At 49.9% G+C, this 23,197-nt stretch overlaps 2 protein-coding genes and 2 long non-coding RNA genes across 7 annotated transcripts in view, besides 12 other annotated features; 2 read left to right on the top strand and 2 right to left on the bottom strand.

Moving 5' to 3' along the window:
• The window catches only part of CCNO-DT (CCNO divergent transcript), a 61,409-nt gene extending 53,256 nt beyond the window's left edge, over positions 1-8,153 (bottom strand). Inside the window, exon 1 of the long non-coding RNA NR_185977.1 lies at positions 8,007-8,153. This is a non-coding gene — a long non-coding RNA (CCNO divergent transcript). The remainder of the gene's footprint in view (positions 1-8,006) is intronic.
• Positions 8,133-8,342: a silencer, noted in NCBI's record as "silent region_16014". NCBI's record gives its function as "represses an Ori minimal core promoter by ATAC-STARR-seq in GM12878 lymphoblastoid cells {active_cell/tissue: GM12878}" and the evidence as "EXISTENCE:reporter gene assay evidence [ECO:0000049][PMID:35858748]".
• Positions 8,133-8,506: a biological region, named in NCBI's record as "Sharpr-MPRA regulatory region 6084".
• Positions 8,212-8,506: a silencer, noted in NCBI's record as "tiled region #6084; HepG2 Repressive non-DNase unmatched - State 4:PromP". NCBI's record gives its function as "represses a minimal TATA promoter and a strong SV40 promoter by Sharpr-MPRA in HepG2 cells {active_cell/tissue: HepG2}" and the evidence as "EXISTENCE:reporter gene assay evidence [ECO:0000049][PMID:27701403]".
• CCNO (cyclin O) lies at positions 8,439-10,895 on the top strand. Of its 4 annotated transcripts, none has more exons than NR_125347.2 (3): positions 8,439-8,909; positions 9,501-9,686; positions 10,187-10,895. NR_125347.2 is itself a non-coding variant. In NM_021147.5 (3 exons), exons 1-3 carry the CDS (start codon positions 8,524-8,526, stop codon positions 10,670-10,672), a joined length of 1,053 nt encoding a protein of 350 aa, NP_066970.3. In that variant the 5' UTR covers positions 8,439-8,523; the 3' UTR covers positions 10,673-10,895. The 4 variants fall into 4 exon arrangements, 1 of the variants encoding a protein (NP_066970.3); NR_125346.2 differs by having other exon boundaries at positions 8,439-9,280; NM_021147.5 differs by having other exon boundaries at positions 8,439-8,904.
• Positions 8,753-8,832: a silencer, noted in NCBI's record as "silent region_16013". NCBI's record gives its function as "represses an Ori minimal core promoter by ATAC-STARR-seq in GM12878 lymphoblastoid cells {active_cell/tissue: GM12878}" and the evidence as "EXISTENCE:reporter gene assay evidence [ECO:0000049][PMID:35858748]".
• Positions 8,981-9,620: an enhancer, noted in NCBI's record as "H3K27ac-H3K4me1 hESC enhancer chr5:54528255-54528894 (GRCh37/hg19 assembly coordinates)". NCBI's record gives its function as "activates a minimal SCP1, AML or CMV promoter by ChIP-STARR-seq in naive and primed H9 embryonic stem cells {active_cell/tissue: H9 hESC(naive and primed)}" and the evidence as "EXISTENCE:reporter gene assay evidence [ECO:0000049][PMID:30033119]".
• Positions 9,621-10,260: an enhancer, noted in NCBI's record as "H3K27ac-H3K4me1 hESC enhancer chr5:54527615-54528254 (GRCh37/hg19 assembly coordinates)". NCBI's record gives its function as "activates a minimal SCP1, AML or CMV promoter by ChIP-STARR-seq in naive H9 embryonic stem cells {active_cell/tissue: H9 hESC(naive)}" and the evidence as "EXISTENCE:reporter gene assay evidence [ECO:0000049][PMID:30033119]".
• Positions 10,141-10,220: an enhancer, noted in NCBI's record as "active region_22552". NCBI's record gives its function as "activates an Ori minimal core promoter by ATAC-STARR-seq in GM12878 lymphoblastoid cells {active_cell/tissue: GM12878}" and the evidence as "EXISTENCE:reporter gene assay evidence [ECO:0000049][PMID:35858748]".
• LOC124900978 (uncharacterized) lies at positions 11,408-15,429 on the bottom strand. The gene is made up of 2 exons (XR_007058773.1): positions 14,750-15,429; positions 11,408-14,403 (listed from the first exon to the last, which is right to left on the bottom strand). It is a non-coding gene; the product is annotated as an uncharacterized LOC124900978 (long non-coding RNA).
• Positions 14,473-14,562: a silencer, noted in NCBI's record as "silent region_16012". NCBI's record gives its function as "represses an Ori minimal core promoter by ATAC-STARR-seq in GM12878 lymphoblastoid cells {active_cell/tissue: GM12878}" and the evidence as "EXISTENCE:reporter gene assay evidence [ECO:0000049][PMID:35858748]".
• Positions 14,713-14,862: a silencer, noted in NCBI's record as "silent region_16011". NCBI's record gives its function as "represses an Ori minimal core promoter by ATAC-STARR-seq in GM12878 lymphoblastoid cells {active_cell/tissue: GM12878}" and the evidence as "EXISTENCE:reporter gene assay evidence [ECO:0000049][PMID:35858748]".
• On the top strand, positions 14,732-22,483 carry MCIDAS (multiciliate differentiation and DNA synthesis associated cell cycle protein). The gene is made up of 7 exons (NM_001190787.3): positions 14,732-15,028; positions 15,116-15,212; positions 15,380-15,471; positions 19,024-19,096; positions 19,648-19,871; positions 20,921-21,031; positions 21,241-22,483. Exons 1-7 carry the CDS (start codon positions 14,909-14,911, stop codon positions 21,679-21,681), a joined length of 1,158 nt encoding a protein of 385 aa, NP_001177716.1. The 5' UTR covers positions 14,732-14,908; the 3' UTR covers positions 21,682-22,483.
• Positions 14,913-14,982: a silencer, noted in NCBI's record as "silent region_16010". NCBI's record gives its function as "represses an Ori minimal core promoter by ATAC-STARR-seq in GM12878 lymphoblastoid cells {active_cell/tissue: GM12878}" and the evidence as "EXISTENCE:reporter gene assay evidence [ECO:0000049][PMID:35858748]".
• Positions 19,192-19,486: a silencer, noted in NCBI's record as "tiled region #9706; K562 Repressive non-DNase unmatched - State 22:ReprW". NCBI's record gives its function as "represses a minimal TATA promoter and a strong SV40 promoter by Sharpr-MPRA in K562 cells {active_cell/tissue: K562}" and the evidence as "EXISTENCE:reporter gene assay evidence [ECO:0000049][PMID:27701403]".
• Positions 21,090-21,149: an enhancer, noted in NCBI's record as "active region_22551". NCBI's record gives its function as "activates an Ori minimal core promoter by ATAC-STARR-seq in GM12878 lymphoblastoid cells {active_cell/tissue: GM12878}" and the evidence as "EXISTENCE:reporter gene assay evidence [ECO:0000049][PMID:35858748]".

Below are 23,197 nucleotides of genomic sequence, written 5' to 3'. Positions count from 1 at the left end.
CAGAGCCAAAGCTCTTAACCACTGCACAGTACTGCCTGTGCCGGGCAGATTGCCACAGATAGGAGGGAATCTGAGGAGAGTTGGGAGAAAAAGCACATCTATGCATGAGGAGAGAAGCAGTGCACTTGAGCATGTGTGCTGAACTTTTAGTGAACTGGGGATTGGCAAAACTCCAGGAAGGCAGGTAACAAAGAGATAGCCTTTTTCCCAGGTGGACATTTAGACATGTAAGTCAAACGTCCGGGTTTTTAAAATGTGCTAAAAATGCCTGCCCTTTGTGTACTAAATACCAGCAAAACTTGTCTGACTTCAAGTTATATGTCTCAATTTTGATGCTTAAATACATTAATAGAAAATAGAGTCTTAAGTAAATATTAGAATTTTTAGTGACATCAAAACTGAGTTTAAACATTATTTTAAGGTGCTAGCAAACGTTCACATTTAGATGGCAACCTACTTTGTTTGCTAAAACAAGGCACTGTCAGTAAATGCATTGTTCCTACTTCAGCCCCCATCATAGAGCTGGAACACGGTGAGAGTGGGGGCTTTTGTCTCAAACTGAAGTGCCAAACTGGAATTAAAAAAAACCCTCTGGTTCCATCATGTTAATACTGCCTTGCAGATTTCATAAACCATACCTGAAAACAAACAGGTCAAATCGTGGTTAAGCAGCTTTTGATGTAGAAGCCTGAGTTTAATTTGGTTTTACATTTTTAAAGTATTTTAGGTTTACCTAGTGCATTTAAGGAGCACTGGGCCCAGGTCCCAGAGAGATTAGTAAACAGAAATTAATTTTAAAGACTTTTCATGGGGAAAATAAAATGCTTTTAACTTGGACCATATTGTTCATACCAACTACAAATACTGAGGAGAGGAAAACGTGGCACTGATATCTCTGACAGTCTTGCTTTAAAATCTCTAGAAGGTGGAGCACAGGACCAAGAGATGTGCAGGAATATCACTTCATTATATGTCCTGTCTAAAACTACATTGAATTGGGTTTCAACAGTGCATTCTACAAAGAGGCAGTGGAACATGAGAAAAACACTGTGGTGAGATGGAGGGAGACATAAAATTCGTTGTTTAATGTCAATTATGGTATTTACCCTTATTCATTGCTAACACCCAAATTCACATCTCTATCCCAGACTTCACACCTGAACTCTCAATTTGTGTATTCAAATACCTGTTTTACCTCCCCATGTGGATGCCTGGAAGATGTCTCAAGCATAACAGACTCAAACTCCTTATCTTCTCCATAAAACCTTTTCCTTCCCTCAATCCTTTCCATCTCAGCTAATGACAACTTCATATCTTCAATTATTCATGTCAGAAAATCTGGGATCATCCTTGACTCTTTCTCTCATACCCTGTATCTTTCTTTTTGGGACAGGGTCTCGGTCTGTTACCCAGGCTGGAGTGCAGTAGCTTGATCATAGCTCACTGCAGCCTCAACCTCCTAGGCTCAAGGAATCCTCCCACCTCAGCCTCCCAAGCAACTGGGATTACAGGCACCAGCTACCACGCCCAGCTAATTTTGTGATTTTTGGATTTTTTGTAGAGGCAGTGTCTCGCAGGCAGGTCTTGAACTCTTGGCCTCAAGCAGCCCTCCCACCTTGGCCTCCCAAAGTGCTGGGATAACAGATGTGAGCCACTGTGCCCAGCCCCTATATCTTTATACCAAATTCTGTTGGCCTATATTCAAAATATATCCAGAATCTAATCACTTCTCACCATCTCTACTACCTACTATCCTGGTTCAAGGCCCCATCATCTCTCACCTGAATTATTTTAATAGTTTCTTAAGTTTCAATTTAAGTGTTTTCTGTTTTCAGTTTAAGTGTTTTCTGTTTCTGCCTGCGTCCTTCTCCTGCCACCCACATGTATTCTCAGCCTGATTAATTCTTCTATTTTTCTTTTTTTTGTTTTTGTTTTTGTTTTTGGAGACAGAGTCTCGCTCTGTTGCCCAGGCTGGAGTGCAGTGGCATGATCTCGGCTCACTGCAACCTCCACCTCCCGAGTTCAAGTAATTCTCTGCCTCAGCCTCCCGAGTAGCTGGGATTACAGGCACCCGCCACCACGCCCAGCTAATTTTTGTATTTTTAGTAGAGACAGGTTTCACCATTTTGGCCAGGCTGGTCTTGAACTCCTGACCTCATGATCTGCCCGCCTTGGCCTCCCAAAGTGCTGGGATTACAGGCGTGGGACACTGCGCCCGGCCCAATTCTTCTAAAATAGTGTTGTACAACAGAAATACAATGTGAGCCACATATGTAATTTTTTTAATTTTTTGAGACAGGGTCTCACCCTGTCACCCAGGCTGGAGTGCAGTGGCACGATCATATAACTCACTATAACCTTAAACTCCTGGGTTCAAGTGATCCTCCCACTTCAGCCTCCCAAGTAGCTAGGACTACAGACATGAGCCACCATGCCTCATTTTTTTCTAATTTTTTAGTAGAGATGGGATCTTACTATGTTGCCCAGGCTGTTCGTATGTAAATTTAAAATTTCCAGAAATCACTTTTTGTTTTTTTAAGAAAGAGTCTTGTTCTGTCCCCCAGGCTGGAGTACAGTGGCACAATCTCAGCTCAGTGCAAACTTCGCCTCCTGGGTACAAGTGATTCTCATGCCTCAGCTCCCCTAGCTGGGGTTACAAGCATACACCACCACGCCTGGCTAATTTTTATATTTTTAGTAGAGATGGGGTTTCATCATGTTGGCCAGGCTGGTCTCAAACTCCTGTCCTCACGGGATCCGCCCACCTCAGCCTCCCAAAATGCTGGGATTACAGGCATGAGCCACTGTCCCAGGCCCAGAAATCACATTTTAAAAACTGAAAAGAAATAGATGAAGTTAATTGTAATAATATATTTAATTTATAAAATCTAGACACCTCTTGTCAGAATCTCTGTCTGCATCTCCCACTCTTCTGCCCCCTTACTCTGCTCTAGGCACACTCCTGTTTCAGGGCCTTTGCACATGCTCTTCCCTTTGCCTGGAATGCCCTTTCCCCAGAATAAGCATGATTCACTCTCTCAACTCCTTCAGGTCTTTGCTCAAATGTCAACTGCTCAGTGAGGCTTTTCCTGACCTCCCTATTTAAAATTCCTATAACCCCATGCCCTAAAGTTCCCATTCCCCTTTCCTGCTTTATTTTCTTAGCTCTTTTTTACCATCTAACATAAACATACATTTATTTGACTATTATGTCTCCTCCCACTAAAACATAAAGTTTATTAGGGAAGGAATTTTGGTCTATTTTATTCACTGTGGTATTCCCAGCACCTAGAAAAGTGCCTAATACATAGCAGGAACTCAAAAAATATTTGATGAATAAATTAACAAATGACTAAAAGTAAACACTGCTTTTAACAATGAGCACAAGCTATAACATCAGAAGGCAGAGGAAAGAGGTAAGGATGTCATGATGACCATTTAATGAAGACATGGCTGAGATTCCTTCCTTTCCTACTCTATCTATAGAGGAGAAACGACCAAGGGGAAATAAACTATGCCTTTTCTTGGAAGCAGTGGACAGGAGTCCTAGATATAAAACCTAGCCCTGAGCTTTGAAGGTAAATTTAAGAAGGCTTTTATATCCAAGTTAAATCAATTAAAATAGGTTTTATCCAATATTAAGAGTTAGAAAAAAATGTAAAAACCATCCCCTGAATTAAAAGACTGCCTACAACTGAGATGCTATACTAAGAAAAGCTCCTTTCAAGGTTTGTTTTGCTAAATTCCATGATGCACAGTGGAGCCATATACAAGTTTATATTGAATATTTTCATTAATCAGTCAAAATCTTGGGGATATTGTTTTAACTAAGCAACATTTGAGAACAAAAGGTAACCACTGGTATTTACATATGTTCATTCATTATTTAAATAATGTCTTTTGGTACTTGCATCCTGATTAAGCTCCATCTTTACATTGAAGACTTAATTGAATGGAAACATGGAACTTTCTTTTTGACCTTAAACAGACTGACAGGTTTCACTGTTTTAACTGCCAACCCACTTGCCTAAGTACATAAGCCAGACTCACAGACCTCCTTGAATTCACCTAACCTTCAACATGGAGCCCCCTTTGTAATCTATTTCCTAAATCTTTAGAATCTAATATCCTATCTCCATCCTCATTACCCACAATTGTCTCTTGCCTGAATTACTGCACCTAACTGGGCTTCGACCTTTGCTTCTCCAATCTCTTTTCCACATATCAGCTAGAGTAATTTGATATTTTGTTTTTTTTTTTTTTTTTTTTAGGCAAGATTTGGCTGTGTTGCCTAGGCTGGAGTACAGTGATATGATCTTGGCTCACTGCAACCTCTGCCTCCCGGGCTCAAGTCACCATCCCACTTCAGCCTCCCAAATAGCTGGAACTAGAGGCACATGCCACCATTCCCAGCGAATTTTTGTATTTTTGTAGAGACAGGGTTTCACCTTGTCGCCCAGGCTGGTCTCAAACTCATGAGCACAAGCAATCCGCCTGCCTCAGCCTCCCAAAGTGCTGGGATTATAGGTGTGAGCCAGGACACCCAGCCTTAAAGTAATTTTTTAAATAAAAGACTTGCTTTGGGAAGTCGTAGTTAACTACGACTTGCTTTGGGAAGCCTTTCCAGGCCAGGCTAATTGCTCCTACTATGGGTTTCTGTGACATCAGGGCTGCCAGATGTCAGGATGCCCAGTTAAATTTCAATGTCAGATAAACAACACATCATCTTTTAGTATAATATGTTCCCTGCTATTATATACTAACTAATGAATAGTTTTTTCTTATAAATATGTCCCATGCAATATTTGGGACATACTCAATGCTCAACATTTTTTTATTTGACATTCGAATTAACCCTGTGTCCTGTATTTTATCTATCAACCCTAAATCCAGTAAATCCTCTATCAGTAATCCTTTACCACGCAGTAATCATTTAAACAAGTGCAACAAGTGGTTCTTTGTTCCCCCAACTACTATGCAGCTCTGTGAGGGCAGGGCCGTGCAGTCTTACAGTTTTAGACCCAGCACCTGGCACAGCAGGCATTCCAGAAGACTGAGGAATACGTCCATCAAGCCAAAGCTCAAGTACCACCTGTTGGGAATTGACTCTAACTATAGGCAAACTCCCTGGGAGTGCAAAGCATTTTCAGCGTGGTGCAAAGACAGTCTCACGTCCACAGACGGATCAAATGATGGTGCTTTTTTTTCAGAATAGCTCCAGTGTGGCCGGGCGCGGTGGCTCACGCCTGTAATCGCAGCATTTTGGGAGACCGAGTCGGGCAGATCACCTGAGGTCAGGAGTTTAAGACCAGCCTGGCCAACATGGTGAGACCCTGTCGCTACAAAAATACAAAAATTAGCCAGGGATGATGGCAGGTGCCTGTAATCCCAGCTACTCAGGAGCCTGAGGCAGGAGGATCGCTTGAACCTGGGAGGCGGAGGTTGCAGTGACCCCAGATCATGCCACTACACTCCAGCCTGGGGGACAGGGCAACACTCCGTCTCAAACAAACAAAAAGAATAGCTCCAGTGTGATAATACTGTTGACTCCCCAATGACAGCTTTAAGGTGACCCGAATATTTTACGTTCAAAAAGGACATTGAATTTTCACATCTATTTTACTTGACCCTCAAGGCAAATAATAATATCCATATTTAACAGATGAGGAAATGGAGACTCAGAGGGGGAAATGTCTTGCCTAAGATAACCAATAAGAGAGCCACAGTTTTACCCTCAGGAGTTGACTTCACTAATTAGATTTTCAAAAAAAAGAAAAAATAGGCTAGGCATGGTGGCTCACGCCTGTAATTCCAGTACTTCTGGAGGCTGAGGCAGGTGGATCACGAGGTCAAGAGATCAAGACCATCCTGGCCAACATGGTGAAACCTGGTCTCTACTAAAAATACAAAAATTAGCCGAGTGTGGTGGTGCGCACCTGTAGTCCCAGCTACTCAGGAGGCTGAGGCAGAAGAATCACTTGAACTCGGGAGGCGGAGGTTGCAGTGAGCCCAGATCTCACCACTGCACTCCAGCCTGGCAACAGAGTGAGACTCCGTCTTAAAAAAAGAAAAAAATAGATGGCTGGGCACGGTGGCTCACGCCTGTAATCCCAGCACTTTGGGAGGCCAAGGCGGGAGGATCACCTGAGGTTGGGAGTTCAAGACCAGCCTAATATGGAGAAACCCCCGTCTCTACTAAAAATACAAAATTAGCCAGCGCGGTGGCGCATGCCTGTAATCCCAGCTACTAGAGAGGCTGAGGCAGGAGAATCGCTTGAACCCAGGAAGCAGAGGTTGCGGTGAGCTGAGATCATGCCATTGCACTCCAGCCTGGGAAACAAGAGCAAAACTCTGTCTCAAAAAGAAAAAAAAAATAGATGAAAGCATAATTAGATTTAAAAAAAAAAAAAGGAAAAAGGAGTTGACTTCCTGCTCTTTTCACTTTACCACACTGGCCACCTGGGCCAATATGAAAAAATCAGAATTCCTGGATTCTTTCTTCTCACCCAGAAAGCTTCTCTAGGAAGAAGTCTGGTATCTGAGTCCTCTCCACAGGTTCAATTGCTCCTCCCATAATGTTGCTCCTCCCAACAATAGTCTGAGAGACAGTAAGGCCTGGCACCACTCCCAGTGTTTCTTAGCTCGTCTCCCATGTTAGAGATGAGATTATTTATTTATTTTTCTTTTGAGACGGAGTGTTGCTGTGTTGCCCAGGCTGGAGTGCAGTGGCATGATCTTGGCTCACTATAACCTCCCCCTCCCAGGTTCAGGCGATTCTCGATTCTCGTGCCTCAGCCTCCCAAGTAGCTGGGATTACAGGTGTGTGCTATCACCCCCAGCTAATTTTTGTATTTTTAGTAGAGATGGGGTTTCACCATGTTGGTCAGGCTGGTCTCAAACTCCTGACCTCATGTGATCCACCTGCCCTGGCCTTCCAAAGTGCTGGGATTACAGTCGTGAGCCACCACGCCCGGCCCAAATGACATTATTTAGGGCAGAATAGAGAGCTTGCTCAGAGTTATGGGGAAATAGGAGGAACAGTGGTCAGAACCCAAAATCCATTCCTTTTCTTTCACCTGCATCTCTAGGAGACACCATCCCACCATCTACTAAATTTTCATAGACAGAAACTTGTACTTTGAGCAGACACATTTATCAGCTTTCTTCTGGAATGAGGTTAGGTGGCTGAACCTGCTCTTGGTTTGGCACCCAGTAGCCTCGCCTCTGGAAAACACCAGGGTTGAGGGTACCTGAGCTTTCTGCCGTTGCTAAGTGCCTGTGAGGTTGATTATGGGCTACTTGTGCTCCTGCAGCCCCTTCTCCTATAGGGTCAGAGACCCTCAGGAAGATTCACTCAGGCCACAGAAGGGCTCCAGCTTCTACCAGGACGGGAGTCTGTGGACTAAACCCGAGGCGCCTTGAGGAAACTGCCACGCCCGGTCGGCCTGGGCGTCCCCATTCCAGCTTTAATTTCCCTGAGTTTATCACCCTGAAGGAGCGGACGCAGGAAGCAGGGAAAAACCAAGGACTGGGCTGCCGGCGGGGCAGAAGGCCAGAAGCTAATGACCTAAAACGGAACAGGCTGTGAGCAATTCGATCAAACTCGAAATGCAACTTTCCAACAATGTTCTTAAACCGCTGTAGCCCCAGCTTGCTTGGCTTGGGGTGAAAAGTGTGGGAGAAAGTCTTCACGGCCTGCAGACTTGCTTGCCGACTGAGGTTGATCCGGCAGTTTTCCGTTTTGTTTTGAGCGCGAAAGCGTGGCTGGCTGGTGGAGCTCCAATCTATTCCGCAGCACAAACGGCCCTTCTGAGGCTCTGCTCCCCGAGGCTGGCGGAAGGAAGGGCACTGGCTACTCCGGTACCCACCGAAACAAAACCGACAAACGCAACCGAATTAACACTATTGCTTGTTTGGGTCACTGAAGAAAACTTTTCCCGTGTCGACAGAATTCTAGCCCGACTTTCGTTTGGAACTCAGGATCAGACCTTTACAAAATTACCGACCTGGGTTAGAGGTGCCCGCACGTGTCGAGACCATCTGGCCAAGGACAGAGAGATGCCCCCTGGGAGAATGTTTTAACCGGCGCAGCGGAGCCGCTTGGCTGCGCCCGCCGCAGCCCTACTCCCACTCCGTGCACCGGGCTCCGCAGTGACCCGGGCTCCGCAGTGACCCGGGCTCCCGCAGCGACCCGGGCTCCGGTTGCCCAGGTAACGCAGGACGCAGGCGCGAAAGGCGGGTGCCTGGCGCGCGCTGCAGCTCCCCCTCCCCCCGGCGGGCCGCGGAGGCGACGCGCTGCCTGCGCCCTGAGGCGAGTGGTTCTCCAGCCGGAAAATCGCGGCTCCGGTGCCGCTCTGGGCTCAGCCAGTGAGAGGCCGGGGGTGTGGTAGAGAGAAGGAGCCGGCCGGGTACTTAGGACCGCGCCAGCCTCTGAGCCCGGCCTCCTTCGCACTTTCGAGTGCGCGTTTGCTGCCCGCCGCAGCCCGGGCGTTGAAGGTAGTAAAGCGGCCACCCGGCCGCATCATGGTGACCCCCTGTCCCACCAGCCCCTCGAGCCCCGCCGCCCGAGCGGGGAGGCGGGACAACGACCAGAACCTTCGCGCCCCGGTGAAGAAGAGCAGGCGTCCGCGCCTCCGGAGGAAGCAGCCGCTGCATCCCCTGAACCCGTGCCCGCTCCCGGGAGACTCCGGCATTTGCGACCTGTTCGAGTCCCCCAGCTCCGGCTCAGACGGCGCAGAGAGCCCCTCTGCGGCGCGGGGTGGTAGCCCCCTGCCCGGCCCGGCCCAGCCCGTGGCGCAGCTAGATCTACAGACCTTCCGCGACTACGGCCAGAGCTGCTACGCCTTCCGCAAGGCGCAGGAGAGCCACTTCCACCCGCGGGAGGCGCTGGCACGGCAGCCACAAGTGAGGTGCTGGTAGAGCCAGCTCCACGCCGCCGCTCTTCCTCTCCTCCCAGGCTCTCTCCTCTCCTGCCGGCTCGGCCCTCCGAGCGCCCGGGCCCGCGACAGCCCAGGTCCCGCCCCGAGTCGAAGCACAAGGGGCCGTGGAGGGGCGTCACCGGCCTCATTTTACAGATGGAGAAAAGTGGGGCGTAGACGGCTTGAGGGACTTGCCCCGTCCCAAGCTGGCTACTGGGGCACGGTAGAGAGGAATTCGTTTCCGGGTTGAGTCTGGACTCCTACCGAACTCGGGCAAGTTATTTAACACCCCTGAGCTTCTTTCTTCATCTGCAAAATGGAACCCCTCCCCTTCCTTTGAATTGCTGAGCCCATTACGCGAGGTAACGTGTACGACGCTCTCTGCACAGCGCCAGGTCCCAATCCCGGTGTTCCGGCTCAGCACGGCCCACGCGTTTCCCAGTTTCCATTGCGTTTCTCTTTCTGAAATCTTCTTGCCCCTCTCCTGGGAAGCTCCCCGATTCTTCTTGGCCCTTCCTTCCCTTCCACAGTCCCTCTCCACCCTAAGCCCAGCGGGCCCGCCTCCCCCCTCCTTCCCGGCAGGTGACGGCGGAATCCCGCTGTAAGCTGCTCAGCTGGCTGATCCCGGTGCACCGCCAATTCGGCCTCTCCTTCGAGTCGCTGTGCCTGACGGTGAACACTCTGGACCGCTTCCTCACCACCACGCCGGTGGCTGCAGACTGCTTCCAGCTGCTTGGGGTCACCTCCTTGCTCATCGCTTGCAAACAGGTACCTGGGGTATCAAACAGGTACACGCGGCATCTGGGGACGCAGCCAAACTCCCCCGCCACTCCCTGGCCGCCCGTCTTTCCAGCGCGCACGATTCAGTGCTGGGTTCCCAGAACTCATTTTATCAGACATTTGCATACGCATATATCCCTTAGCCTTAACTTCACAATTTCTCCACAAACGAAAAATCCTGTCACTCGGCTTCCAAAGAAATAGCCTAATAGACTAATAGCTGTAATCAGTCCCAAATAGCTCTTTTGGCACCTCTAGTCTAGCCTCCGAAAAAGCCTTCAAAATTTCCCAAGCTTTTTTTTTTTAGTTGGACAGTAGTTAGATCAACTGCGCTGGAAGTACGCTCTAGGTCACTTACGTGGAAGCAGTGGAGAGGCAGAGCCCCGGCTGTCTCTCTGGAAGGGATGGGGAAAGTCCGGGCGTCATACTGGGGTGGGCCTGGGGCCCGGGAAGCCGCAAAGCGGGGTTGAGTGCGCCCTGTGTTGCAGGTGGAGGTGCACCCGCCGCGCGTGAAGCAGCTTCTGGCCCTCTGCTGCGGCGCCTTCTCCCGGCAGCAGCTCTGCAACCTCGAGTGCATCGTGCTGCACAAGCTGCACTTCACCCTGGGTGCGCCCACCATTAGCTTCTTCCTGGAGCATTTCACGCACGCTCGCGTGGAGGCGGGGCAGGCTGAGGCCTCCGAAGCTCTGGAAGCGCAAGCCCTGGCGCGGGGGGTGGCAGAGCTGAGTCTGGCCGACTATGCCTTCACCAGCTACTCCCCTTCCCTCCTGGCGATCTGCTGCCTGGCGCTGGCGGACCGCATGCTGCGGGTCTCGCGGCCCGTGGACTTGCGACTGGGAGACCACCCGGAGGCGGCGCTGGAGGACTGTATGGGCAAGTTGCAGCTGCTGGTGGCCATAAACAGTACTTCCTTGACTCACATGCTGCCCGTTCAGATCTGCGAGAAGTGCAGCCTGCCCCCGAGCTCGAAATAAAACAGATCCTTCGTTTCCTTTTAGTCCCTGGCCCGGCTGCTGGACCTCTCCCGTAGCCTCAGAAGAGTGCAGTACTGGTCCACAGAGAAGGCTTCAGGACCTGCTTGGTCAGCTGCAGGTTGTAAATAGTGTACGATACTAGCATCTGGTATTTTATTTATTTTGCAGCGAGCACATGAGGAAGCTGAGTCTTTCACCAATAAACAGTTGTGGTTTGTCTAAATCCTGCAAGTGTCTGTCTGCGGGGAGGGAAGGTGAATTCAGCTCAGGAATGGTGGTTGGCAACGTTTGCGGGATTTTCCCTTCCCTCTGGGTCCACTCTGTAATTGGGATCTCTGTGGAAACACCAGGTCAGGTGAGGTCCTGGATACTGAATTCCAGAGATTAGTGGAGTCAGGCTTACCTGATGGCTTGGGTCCTGTGACCCTCGAATAGAACCTCTATGCTGTCCAGAGGGTTGCACTTGCTGGTGAGGCAGATGTGGGGCTGGGAAGCTTTGGGGACCACACAGGCACACAAGCAGAAGTGGGGGAAAGCCATATCCAGGCATGAGAAATCCCGTGTTCAAATGGAGCATGTTGGAAACCAAGGATTTGACTGTGGTCACAGCCATTGCAGGTTGAGCCCATTTACCCTGCAATCACGTGGTCCAACTGTTCATGCTACGACATGTGAGCCCAAAGTAACTGGCATAATAGTCATAATGGCTATATTGAGCATTAAGTATGTCCTAAGTACTGTGTTCAGCATTTATTTCATTCTTCCAGCAACTCTATGGAGCAGAGTCTATTATCCCATTTTTCAGAGGAGGATGCTGGAGCACAGAACCATTAAACAACAGTGGAGTAGCCGGGATCTGAGTCTAGAGTCCCACTCTTAGCCACACTGCTAAATGTCCCCCACTTACAGGTTTCTGGTAATTCTCAAAACACCCTCTTCCTGAGATAGGTGGCAGTTATTTACTCAGTGCTCCCCATTCAGTAGGGACTATAGAGAACACATCTGGAGAGCCAGCGCAGTCTGTACCTCAGTCACGTTACAGGAATCGTTTTACAGATGAGAAAACCAAATTGAGAAATGAGACAGAGGCTTGCCGGAGTTTTGACTCCGCCTGTCATATTGTCTTCAGTCTCACTGTTACGAATCTGATGCAGGCACTGAATCTCTCAGCTCTGTCACCTCTAGCAAATTTCATATCCTCTCTGAGCTCTACAATTGATATCAAGGTTGTTGTCAGTCTAAATGAGATTGAAAAGCTTAAATGAGATTAAGTTTACGTGTTATAAGGTAGTATAGTGATTCAGTAAGTGGGTTCTGTATCCAATTTGCCAGGTGACCTTAAGCAAGTCACATATCTATGCCTACGTTTCATCTATAAAATGGGAATATCGGCCGGGCGCGGTGGCTCACGCCTGTAATCCCAGCACTTTGGGAGGCCAAGGCGGGCGGATCACGAGGTCAAGAGATCGAGACCATCCTGGCTAACACGGTGAAACCCCATCTCTACTAAAAATACAAAAAATTAGCTGGGCATAGTGGCAGGTGCCTGTAGTCCCAGCTACTCGGGAGGCTGAGGCAGGAGAATGGCGTGAACCCGGGAGGCGGAGCTTGCAGTGAGCTGAAATTGCAACACTGCACTCCAGCCTGGGCGACAGAGTGAGACTCCGTCTCAAAATAAAAAAATAAAATGGGAATATCAATAGGGCCTATTTAGTAGGGTGGAAGTATAGCTCTAATGAGATGGTCCATACTGGTCCCCCAGCACATAGGAAGCCCTCAAGAAATAAAGGCTAGTGGTAACCTGCACAGTGATGGGAGGACAGGGGCTATGCAGAAAAACTTGGAGCAAAGAAACGAGAGCAAATATGGGAAAATAACAATTTGTGTGGGGTTGAACATATGGTTGTTCATCGTACTGTTTTTTCAAATTTTCTGTATGGTTGAAAAAAGTGATAATTTTTTGGGGGAAAATCTGTCATGTTCCCCTGCACCTAGGGTATATCAAAATGTATGACAAATACAAATAAAAAGCAAACTCAAATTTAGAGAAACTTCTTTGCACTTCTCTCAAAGTGTGTCTTCCAGGTGTTCTCGGAGCCAGGAGTGCCTTACTCTGGGCCCCTTGAATGCCTCTTCTGACATATTGCTATGCTAAACTTTCTAGGAACTTTCTCCTCCTTGGCTGTGGAAGAAGGACGTGGTGATCCCCAAGCTATTTGTGTAAAAGCTGCTCTGTGATGGTGAAAAGGGAGGAGGAAGATCATATCACCTGTTTCAAATAACAAATTATTAGGGCCCTCTGCTTGGTTGTAAGGGGTTGGGGTCTGGTCCCCAGGCAAAAGAGTGACTTTGCGCGGAGTTGTCTTCACCAATATCTGCTCCATTAATCAGCCAAGACTGCTATGAGTTACTGGTTCCAGAATCATCCACACTAGGAGTCATATAATCATGCTATTCCAGTTCCTGTTACAACAGATAATGTGCAATGCCCATATTTTTGTCTACTCCAACTTAGAACTCATTGACGAATATTTGGAAAATGGGCCTATCCTGGAAATTTTGTGACGATCTGCATGTGTGGAGATCGCCCCAAAACTCAGCTAAGAGCTTCCCTACTCATTTTAAAGGCTGGAAAGTGGGTGAGGATGGGGATGGAGATGGAGATGGACTGGCTAGTGGTCGTGCTACTCAGAAACCAGAGGAAACAGGAGACAGGGCTAGGAACAAGTTGTGGGAAGCTGGAAATACAGCTGAAAAGGCTTTTAAAAAATCACTAATTTACCCATACTAAGCACCAGTCACTTTACATAAATAATCTCACTCATCTTCACAGCAACTCTATTGAGGCCAGTGTAACTTTTTTTCCTAAAGACCTAGGGCTCATGGACCTGGTCCTCAGGCACTCTGACCCTAAAGCCAGAGCTCCTCACCATGAGCCATACCACACCAACTCTAGCTGGCTGACCTCACATCAATTCAGTTTCTGCATCTACTCCTGGGTCAGAGAGTCTCTCACTCTATTCCAGCTCTACCATTGGATTACCTTCCACCGCTGTTAGGGTATCTTGTTTCTTACTAGAGGCTCTTTCACTACGACTACTAGGTATAAGGGGAAAACAAGGTGCCCAACATAGGGGGGTGGGTACACAAAGATTCCAATTTCAGACGACTGTTCAAATTGGATGAATATGAGTGGTACTGAGAAAGGTCCCTCGCCTAAGGATGCCCCTCCCTAGGAGATGCCTCGGACTCAGGAAAATGCCCATTCCTTGGAGAGGTGTTGGCTTGGGAATGGCAACTACGACTGCGAAGAGACCAGCCAAACGTGGCGATGGGCCGCTGAGGCCACTAGGAAAGACAGGAACAGGGTTTTCGGGGATTCGGTACTTTCCACTGTGGCGTTTTCAGAAAGTGGAGGAGGGTTCGTAGTGTCACTTTTTCTTAACGGACGGTCTTTTAAAGGCTGTGCTCACGCGCCACTGCCGAGAAGAGTGCGGGGCTTGGGGAGCGGGGCGGGCTCTTGGCGTCAGGCCAAAAGAGACCACGTGGAAATCCATAAGTCAGGACCCAGGATAAGGTTCAGGTTTGAGGGAAGGGGCTTCTGTAATAAGGGGGCTGTTCCAGGGCATCCCTGCCGGTATTCTACATCCTTACTAAATCCTGCAGGAGCGCAAAGGCCGGAGTCTAGCGCTGGCGGGTGTCACTCCACGTTTATTTCGTGCGCCTTGTGGCTGGAGTGGGAAGAAAAGGAAATAATCGTTAACTTTGCCATTCCCCCTGTCTGTAAGCGGGAAGACGGTACCCAGGGCGAGGGAGACCGGCGTTTGCCCGCCCCTCCTTCTCCCTCTCTTCGCCTGGCGCGTCCGGGAGGCGGCGGCGCCAAAGCTCGCCGAAACGGCGCTGGCGGGCCGGGGCCCCGCGCTGGCGGCTCCCGGGGGAAGCCCGGTTGCCAGGTTGGGTTTAACGCCTCCGCCCGCGCGCAGATTGTCCCGGGCTGAAGGCGCCACCTCTGGCGCTCAGGCGCAAGCCACCCCTCCCGCGCGGCGGTCCTCCCCCTCCCCCGCCATCTCTCAGCACCTCCTCGGCAGCCCCTCGGCTCCTTCTCGGTCACGCGCCTGCCCCAACCTCTGGCTGGCTTCGGAGCCTGCAGGCACTGAAGGGAGTGCAGGGTGTGGATCGCTGCCCCAGCCCGGGCCGCCGCCTCCGAGCAGTCGGCACCCGGAGGCAGGAGGCACAATGCAGGCGTGCGGGGGCGGCGCGGCCGGCCGTCGGGCCTTCGACAGCATCTGCCCCAACAGAATGCTGGCACTGCCGGGCCGGGCGCTGCTCTGCAAGCCGGGGAAGCCGGAGAGGAAGGTGGGGCGGTTGATTCGGGCCGGGCGGGGTCTGCGCGCTCGGTGCCCCGAGGGCTGACCCGCGTTCAACGTTTGTGTGCCCGGCCAGTTCGCTCCTCCGCGGAAGTTCTTCCCCGGATGCACAGGCGGGAGCCCGGTGTCGGTGTACGAGGATCCCCCGGACGCCGAGCCCACAGCGCTGCCAGGTGAGCCCCGTGGCACCCACGCTACCCCTCGGGTTCCCCGCGCCGGGAGGGTGCGGCGCGCACAGCTCGGAGGAGCTTCTCTCCCCCGGGCTCTGACGTCCTAGCTGCGAGCCTGGCGGAGAGGCTCAGGGCCCGCCCGGCGCGTGTCTCCCGGTCTCCCCGCGCAGCCCTCACCACCATAGACCTGCAGGACCTCGCTGACTGCTCTTCGCTACTCGGGTCCGACGCGCCGCCTGGTGGTGACCTGGCCGCCTCGCAGGTACCTCCCCTTCTCGTGGAGCCTCGTGGTTTCACGCAACCCAAACCCTCCTCCGGGGTGGTGGTTTTAATTCCCCAAAAGCTCCTCTCGGGTCGGGAGCGCAGGCACACTCAGCTGGTGAGGGGAAGCATTGTGCAGGCACCTGAGCCTCCCAGATCAGAACTTCTACTTGCATCCTAGTATGTTATGAAGACCACATATCCACTGGAGCTGATTTGACCAACTTGATACAGTCGGGCTCATCTGGAGGCCTCCCCTCCTATTTCCCACCCTATCTACTCTTTGGAGCTGTGACAAGATTGCGCACTGAGAGACCAGGCGGGTGGGTGGGAGCAAAGTTGCGCACTGGGAACCTGTTGCATTCCTATCAGTTCTCCCAACACCCCCTTCCTGGCCATTTTCATTCCGTGGGTATATAAGAAGAGTGGAGGTTGATGGATAACTTCTCTATCAGGACTGGAAAAGAGCAAGAGAATTTGCAGTTGGAAGAAGCAGGAAGGACAAAGGACTCTGGAAGTAATCTTGCAGAAAATGTTCTTCTCTGCAGAGACAGTCCTTCAGCAATTGGGCGCTTTTTCAAAGTCCTGTTCAGCCCTTCGAAAAGCTCTAGTCACTTGCCGTGATGGGGCAAAAAGGCACTTGACTTTTTTCTTTTCCCCAAAACCTGTCTTCTTGCTCCCATCCCACTTCCGCCACTTGCTGGTGCTGACGCTTCCCAGGCAGAGAAGGGAGTCTCCCAGCACTGGTGTCTGGGAGGCCAGAAGCCTGGCTCATGGGTAGGACATGAAGTGCCCAGAGGGACAGGAGGTCTTAAACAGATGCAACCCCCAGGAAAAGTGCCAGTTTCAGCTTGCTGGCAATAGGTCTGGGGTTTGCAGACAGGCCCAGTATGGAACTCTACAAAGAATTGACCACCTCCCAGAACTGGGAGTGCTGGTGGAGCAAAACTCAGCCCTCCTCCAAGGGCCTCCTAGAACCTTGGGCTAGAGCCCAGAGACACTCAGTTTAGGTGGCTGCTGAGAGCAGAGATTGTTAAGGCAAGAGTTGGGAGTGGGCACTGCACTGCAGAGGACATTTAATTGTTCTTTTTAGATCTGGATGATCAAATAAGGAAAGATAATGCCTGAGTATCTTCCAACTGACCCAGAGGCCTAGGTCACTCCCTTACCCCAGCATGTTTATTGTGCAAGTAACAAAACCCAAGCAGCTCTCATTGGATGTTTGTCTAAGTATACAGATTCTACATTTGGCATCATGCTCTTTGTTAGAATTTTTTTCTTGCATTTGTAGTTGGAGAAATGCCAGATTTATCTAATTGGGGAGGTAGAATTCAAAGTTTCATTTTGTTTATTTTCTTTTTCTTTTTTTGAGACAAGGTCTCACTCTGTCACTCAGACTGGAGGGCAGTGACATGATCATGGCTCACTGCAACCTGGACCTCCCAGGCTCAGGCGATCCTCCCACCTCAGCCTCCCAAGTAGCCAGGACTACAGGTGCACACACCACGGCCAGCTAGTTTTTGGTTTGTCTGTACTTTTTGTACAGATGGGGATTCGCCATGTCACCCAAGCTGGTCTTGAACTCCTGTGCTCTAGCGATCTGTCTGCCTCAGCCTCCCAAAGTGCTGAGATTACAGGCATGAGCCACTATGCCCAGCCTCGAAGTTTCAAGGACAGAGCTCACATCAGATGGACCAAAAAATCCAGGAATTTTCCTGGGAAAGACAGAGCTAGTTCAGAGGAAAGAGGCCCCCAGGGGAGAAACACTCAGGGAGACCCCTGGGACACTCAGATCACATTTCCCCATTCCTTTCCTGCTGGGAAAGGTGGACAGAGAGAGGAAGTGCTCTAGAAATGTTTGAGGTTCAGAATGGACCAACACCTGGATTGGCATAAGAGGTAGCATTTCCAGGGCCCCAGTTCCTGAGTTGGCCTCCAGTCTCCTCATGAGACTTTTCTCAAATCCCTACCCAGGAGGAGACCTTCCAGTTATTGAAGAATGAGCCCCTTCAACCAGGGCAGCACTCATGCTCCAGGACTTGTCTGGGGCCCTCAGCCCTTCCTTTCTCATCTCCTTTCTCTTATAGTCTCAGCATCCAACTAGTGGCAGAGGTGCTAGAGGCCTCCCTGCTTGACTCTTTTCTCCCAAGGGAAAACTGATACTTGTACATTCTTTGAAGTTAGGGGCAGAGTAAGTTCCTCTTCCCAGAAATATTTTAATAGTAAAGAAGGGCTTTGGGGATAACAGTATGATGAGCGCAAAGGAATGAATCAACAGTGCATTCAGTATAATAAGGTCTTTCTGGTGGGCTATTGGATGCATCTTCTCTTACCATGGCCCTTGAGACTCCTGTCCCCTTCCCAGTGCTGTCTTCGGTGGAAGCCAGCTTTCCTAAAAAGAGAGAAAAGCTAGAGGAAATGAAGTATGGAGGCAGGAGGCCCTATTCCACTACTTCAGAGCTGGGTGACTGGGTAACTCTCTGAGCTTCAGATTCTTCCTCAAAGAGGAATCAGTTAGGCCCCTGCCGCTTCCCACACTGGTATGAGGATGAACTGAGAGACTGTGTAAAAGCGTTTTTATCAACTCTAAATGTCCATGAATTAAGGGAACAAGAAGGCCTATGCGCCTCCAGCCCCTTAGGGTCTCCTTTCCTCTCACACACCCAGACACTCTGCAGGAGGCCGGGAGAGTACAGTTCATAATGTTGGAGGTGCACCGGCTGTACGAGAAAAGAGTACTCCCAACTTTTTGGGAAACTGAAAGAGCAATGGAGGCCGCACTGGCTGTGCGCAGAACAGAAGCTTTTCCCGTATTCTCCTGGCCCCTCGAATCACAGCTTTCTTCCCGCTCGGTTGCATGGGTGGGGCGGTTAGCTGGGGCCAAACCTTGGCGGGAAACGCGGCCTCAAATTACTGCTCGAGGCCCCTGCACGCTGTCGGGTCTTGGGTGGAAAGATCCGGTGTTCAAGACGTGCTCTCAGCTCCTACAGCGGCGGCTCGGTGGCCGGTCGCTGGTGAGTCGGAGTCAAAATTTCGCAGGCGCACAGGGAACCGCCGAGCTTCACAGAGGCGGCTGCTTAGCTAGTTGGTGGGTGGCGGGCTACTCGGCTGCCCGGAGCCGGCGCAGGGCCGCCGCACCGCCGGTGGAAGGACCCATTCCCGCCACGCAGCTGCTCTGCAGGAGCCGCGAACTGCTGCCCCCTTCCCCCAGTCAGTGTCGTGCTCCGTGCGTCCCGCTCCCCACCGTGGCAGTGCAAGCCTGCTGGGTTCCCTGTCTCGGATGGGGCTTGAATTTTCGGGTACGAGACTGGGCTGGCGACGTAAGTGCGAGCAGACCGCCGCCGAGCCCGGGAGGAGGTCTGTTGGTCTAGAAAGGGTTCCGGACCCGCCACAAAAATTGTTTTATTTGGGGGGACTTAGGGGTACAAGTGCAGTTGTGTTACGTGCATATATTGCATAGTGCCTGCCAGATTTTTAACAGGGACGCCAATATTTATTGAAGGCTTTCTAACGCCAGACTCGTTAACCAGTGTACACCTCTGGTTTTTTTCAGAACCATTCCCACCAAACGGAAGCAGACTTCAATCTGCAAGATTTCAGAGACACGGTGGATGATCTCATTTCAGGCAAGTGCAGTCTCCTGGCAGTTAAATAACAGCGGGGGTGTCCCCCACTCCCAAATCAGACTAGTTCAGATTTCGTGGTCGTGAAGGTGGTAAACCCAGCCAACTGTCAACGACTCTCCAGCAACTCATCAAAGAGTCAGCCTTTTCCATATTTAGGACATTTCTCTCCCCCGTGGAGAAGTCGAACCGCTGGATCTACATAGCGCTTTATCTGGGATCGGTGTGAGTTCTGGGAGAGGGAGCCCTATGCTGTGGTGTGGCAGGGGAGGTTGAGTGACGAGTGTGCAGGGTATCGAAGGCCTGTGTGACGTGCAGGCCCAGGGAAGTGTTCTTGATTGAATTCAGGTAAACTTAACAGGCATATGTTGGATACCTGCTGTGTATGTACAGGCTATCAGGAAGGGCCTCGTAATCAGGCGTTTAGGAGTAAGGGTGCTTAATTTAATAAAGAAAAATCTCTACATACACCCTACACCCAGAGTGGCATTTTGCTCCTGTAACTAGCTGGGCATGAATTTGAGGCTGCAAATCCAGCTCCTGCTCTTCTCCAGACTCATCCTCTATGATGTCGCCTACCCTGGCCAGCGGAGACTTCCCCTTCTCTCCTTGCGACATATCACCATTCGGGCCCTGCCTCTCCCCGCCACTGGACCCACGGGCCCTGCAGTCACCACCGCTGCGCCCTCCAGACGTGCCCCCGCCTGAGCAATACTGGAAGGAGGTGGCGGACCAGAACCAGAGAGCGTTGGGAGACGCGCTTGTTGAGAATAATCAAGTAGGGACACTGGTCTGGCGACCAGGAATCCTGGGGCAGGGACAGGATATAGAGGGTGGAAGTGGGGTTTGCAAGGGAGAAGATGAGGTCCTGTGAGTCGGAACCAGTGGACTGACTGGTGGTTCACGTAGCTGCCATTGCTCCGGTGGCTCCACCTGTTTCCAAATTGGTTAAGTGGGAATAATTCTACCCCACCTGATTTTTATTTTATTTTATTAATTAATTTTTATTTATTTATTCATTTTTTTTTTGAGACGGAGTCTCGCTCTGTCGCCCAGGCTGGAGTGCAGTGGCATGATCTCGGTTCACTACAACCTCCGCCTCCCAGGCTCAAGCCATTCTCGTGCCTCAGCCTCCCAAGTAGCTGGGATTACAAGCGCATGCCACCATACCTGGCCAATTTTTATATTTTTAGTAGAGACGGGGTTTCACCATGTTGGCCAGGCTGGTCTGGAACTCCTGACCTCGGGTGATCCGTCTGCCTCAACCCCCAAAGTGCTGAGATTATGGGCGTGAGCCACTGCACCTGGCCATTTTATTTATTTTTAAAAATAGTTTTATTTGGGGGGATTTAGAGGTACAAGTGCAGTTGTGTTACATACATATATTGCATAGTGCCTGCCAGATTTTTAATAGGGACGCCAATATTTTTTGAAGGCTTTCTATGTGTCTGGCCCTGGACTTACCAATTTATACTTTTTCTTCCCACTTAATGCTCACAATCATTGAGCTAGATACTCTTACTAGCCCCGTTTTACAAGGAAATCAAGACATAGGATTGTTGAACTTCGGTGACAGAACCTAGATCTGCCTGTTGCCCAAGTCAGTACTCTTTATCAGCACGCTACACCGAGGATTAATGGAGATAAATTTTGTCCAAGTGCTTTGTTTTAAAAAAAAAGTAAATTGATTATTATTCTCACTAGCGTAAATGCCTGTGCGTCCCCAGTTCCTGATGAGACGTCAGGATCTGGGTTTGATTCATGCCAGATATGCAGACGAGACCCAGCACAGTACCTACCCCTGAATGTTTGGGTCTCCTCCTGCAGCTGCACGTGACATTGACCCAGAAACAGGAGGAGATCGCCTCGCTCAAGGAGCGGAACGTGCAGCTGAAGGAACTCGCCAGCCGAACCCGGCACCTGGCCTCGGTGCTGGATGTAAGTGGGGCGCGGGCGTGTGGGAACTGCAGCACGTCGGAACTGAACAGTTCAGTGCATCCCCGCCCAGCATCGGGACCCGTGGGGGCCCGGGAGAGGAGAGTACCGCTGAGTGCGTGGTGCGTAGCGCGCCTAGGTCACCTTTTGCACGCTCCGAACCCGGAGGGTCCGGCAGGCCCCAGGGCGGCGCTCTTCCCTGTCTTTCGTAGAAGCTGATGATCACACAGTCCCGGGATTGTGGGGCGGCGGCCGAGCCCTTCCTGCTCAAGGCGAAGGCCAAAAGGAGCCTGGAGGAGTTGGTCAGCGCTGCGGGGCAGGATTGCGCGGAAGTGGACGCCATCCTGAGGGAGATTTCCGAGCGCTGCGATGAAGCCCTTCAGAGCCGCGATCCCAAGCGGCCCCGACTGCTGCCAGAGCCCGCGAATACTGACACCAGGCCCGGGAACCTGCATGGCGCCTTCCGGGGGCTGCGCACAGACTGCAGCCGGAGCGCGTTGAACCTGAGCCACAGTGAGCTGGAGGAGGGCGGCTCCTTCAGCACCCGCATCCGCAGCCACAGCACCATCCGCACCCTCGCCTTCCCCCAGGGCAATGCCTTCACCATCAGAACAGCCAACGGGGGTTACAAGTTCCGCTGGGTCCCCAGTTGAGCTGTGATGTGGTCCCCCAAAACACTGCCCTGTGTTTCCACTGAAGTGCCTGGGGGCTTCCCAGAACTTTGCCTTCAGGTTGAATGCCACCCTGAAACACTTTTTCAGGAACAAAAGCATCTTGATACCGATGCATTGTAAATTTCTGCTACAAAACATTGTATAGCCCCTCCCCTTGTCACAGTGAAACTCTGTTTATATATGTATATGTCACATATGTCACAGCCAATTTTAAAAGTATTTATTTTTAGCAGCTTTGAATTATGTATTTTTAGAGCAGGGAAGGATTTAGAAACCATAGTTACTTTTATAATTATGTAATGCTCTAATATTATAAGAAGGAAAAGAAGGCTCTAAGAGATTAAGTAATTTCCTGCAATGGGAAACACTGGAACCTTTCAATCACTTTAACTAGTCACTTAAGGACTCTAGGCCCAGAAGCCTGGTTTCTGGGTGAATGTTTTTATACATCACTCAACTTCCCTCGTCCTAAAAGGACACCTAATTTTGTTACTATTGAAAATTTTTATTTTGGTGGCCAGAATACGAAATCGGGAGAGGTAACCCAAACAGTTGTCTTAGGAAAAGGCAGATTCTCAGAGGCAATGGGCTATCAACAAAATAGGTGCTAAGCACATTTGTTTGTAATGATCATTCATATAATTTAGAAGATTTATGGTAACAGTTTATATTCATTATCCATACAGTTCTATTTGTGCAAATAGAATAACCACCTATAAGCAAACAGTGTTAATGAGAAATATATATTGTTTTAAGAAAATAGCATATACCGCATGAAAAAGAGTGTTCCCTTTTTTTTTTTTTTTTTTGCCAGAAATCAAGTGTGGAAGTCTTGATCAAAGTAAAACTACCTATTTGAACTGCACAGATAAAACTGGGGTGCACAATCATATTTTACATTTCTTGGCTTGATTTATATAACTTGTAAGAAAAAGTTAACTATAAAAAGTCAGTGTGCCTTCACTTTGACTTGACTTCTATTCCCTTTTGTCTGGGATTCTTTTTCCTACTCATTTCTGAAATTATATGAGTGGCATATGTCAAGTAGTGATTTGTCCTGACCTTCACAGTTCTTAACATGAAGTCTACTTCTTGCACTTGGCGGCCCAGCTTGGGCACGTTTCCAGCTGTGTTACGCCACACTGCATTGCTGGTTCTGCCCTCTGAGAGGAGATATCAGGTAACAGGTGACTTGGCAGCGTGGCAGAACCTGCTCTTCCAGTTTGTCATGTATGTACTGCTATCTGTATTTAAATAGCCATTTAGAAACCAAAAAAAAAGCTGATAAAATAGACCATATTTCCTCATATTTTGTCTAACAAATGGACTCTTAAAAAGTACAGTGGATGGCCCAGAATTTTTTTTCATCAGCTCAAATATAAAGTTACCACAGTTCGGGATAAGAAAAAACAAAAAATCACTTCCCTCCAACCTCTTAACCTGTCCCCCAAAACAATCAGCTTGTCATGTCTTTTCCTCTCTCCTTAATGAGTAT

The sequence above is a fragment of the Homo sapiens genome, chromosome 5 (assembly GCF_000001405.40).
Source record: "Homo sapiens chromosome 5, GRCh38.p14 Primary Assembly".
NCBI classification, from domain to species: Eukaryota; Metazoa; Chordata; class Mammalia; order Primates; family Hominidae; genus Homo; species Homo sapiens.
This window is presented reverse-complemented; position numbering and strand designations above follow the sequence as displayed.

Coding starts and splice junctions, on each gene's coding strand:
- CCNO (NM_021147.5), top strand. CDS start 8,524: ATGGTGACCCCCTGTCCCACCAGCCCCTCGAGCCCCGCCGCCCGAGCG. Junction 8,905..9,500: donor CGCTGGCACGGCAGCCACAA/GTGAGGTGCTGG, acceptor CCTTCCCGGCAG/GTGACGGCGGAATCCCGCTG. Junction 9,687..10,186: donor TGCTCATCGCTTGCAAACAG/GTACCTGGGGTA, acceptor CCTGTGTTGCAG/GTGGAGGTGCACCCGCCGCG.
- MCIDAS (NM_001190787.3), top strand. CDS start 14,909: ATGCAGGCGTGCGGGGGCGGCGCGGCCGGCCGTCGGGCCTTCGACAGC. Junction 15,472..19,023: donor GTGACCTGGCCGCCTCGCAG/GTACCTCCCCTT, acceptor GGTTTTTTTCAG/AACCATTCCCACCAAACGGA. Junction 21,032..21,240: donor ACCTGGCCTCGGTGCTGGAT/GTAAGTGGGGCG, acceptor TGTCTTTCGTAG/AAGCTGATGATCACACAGTC.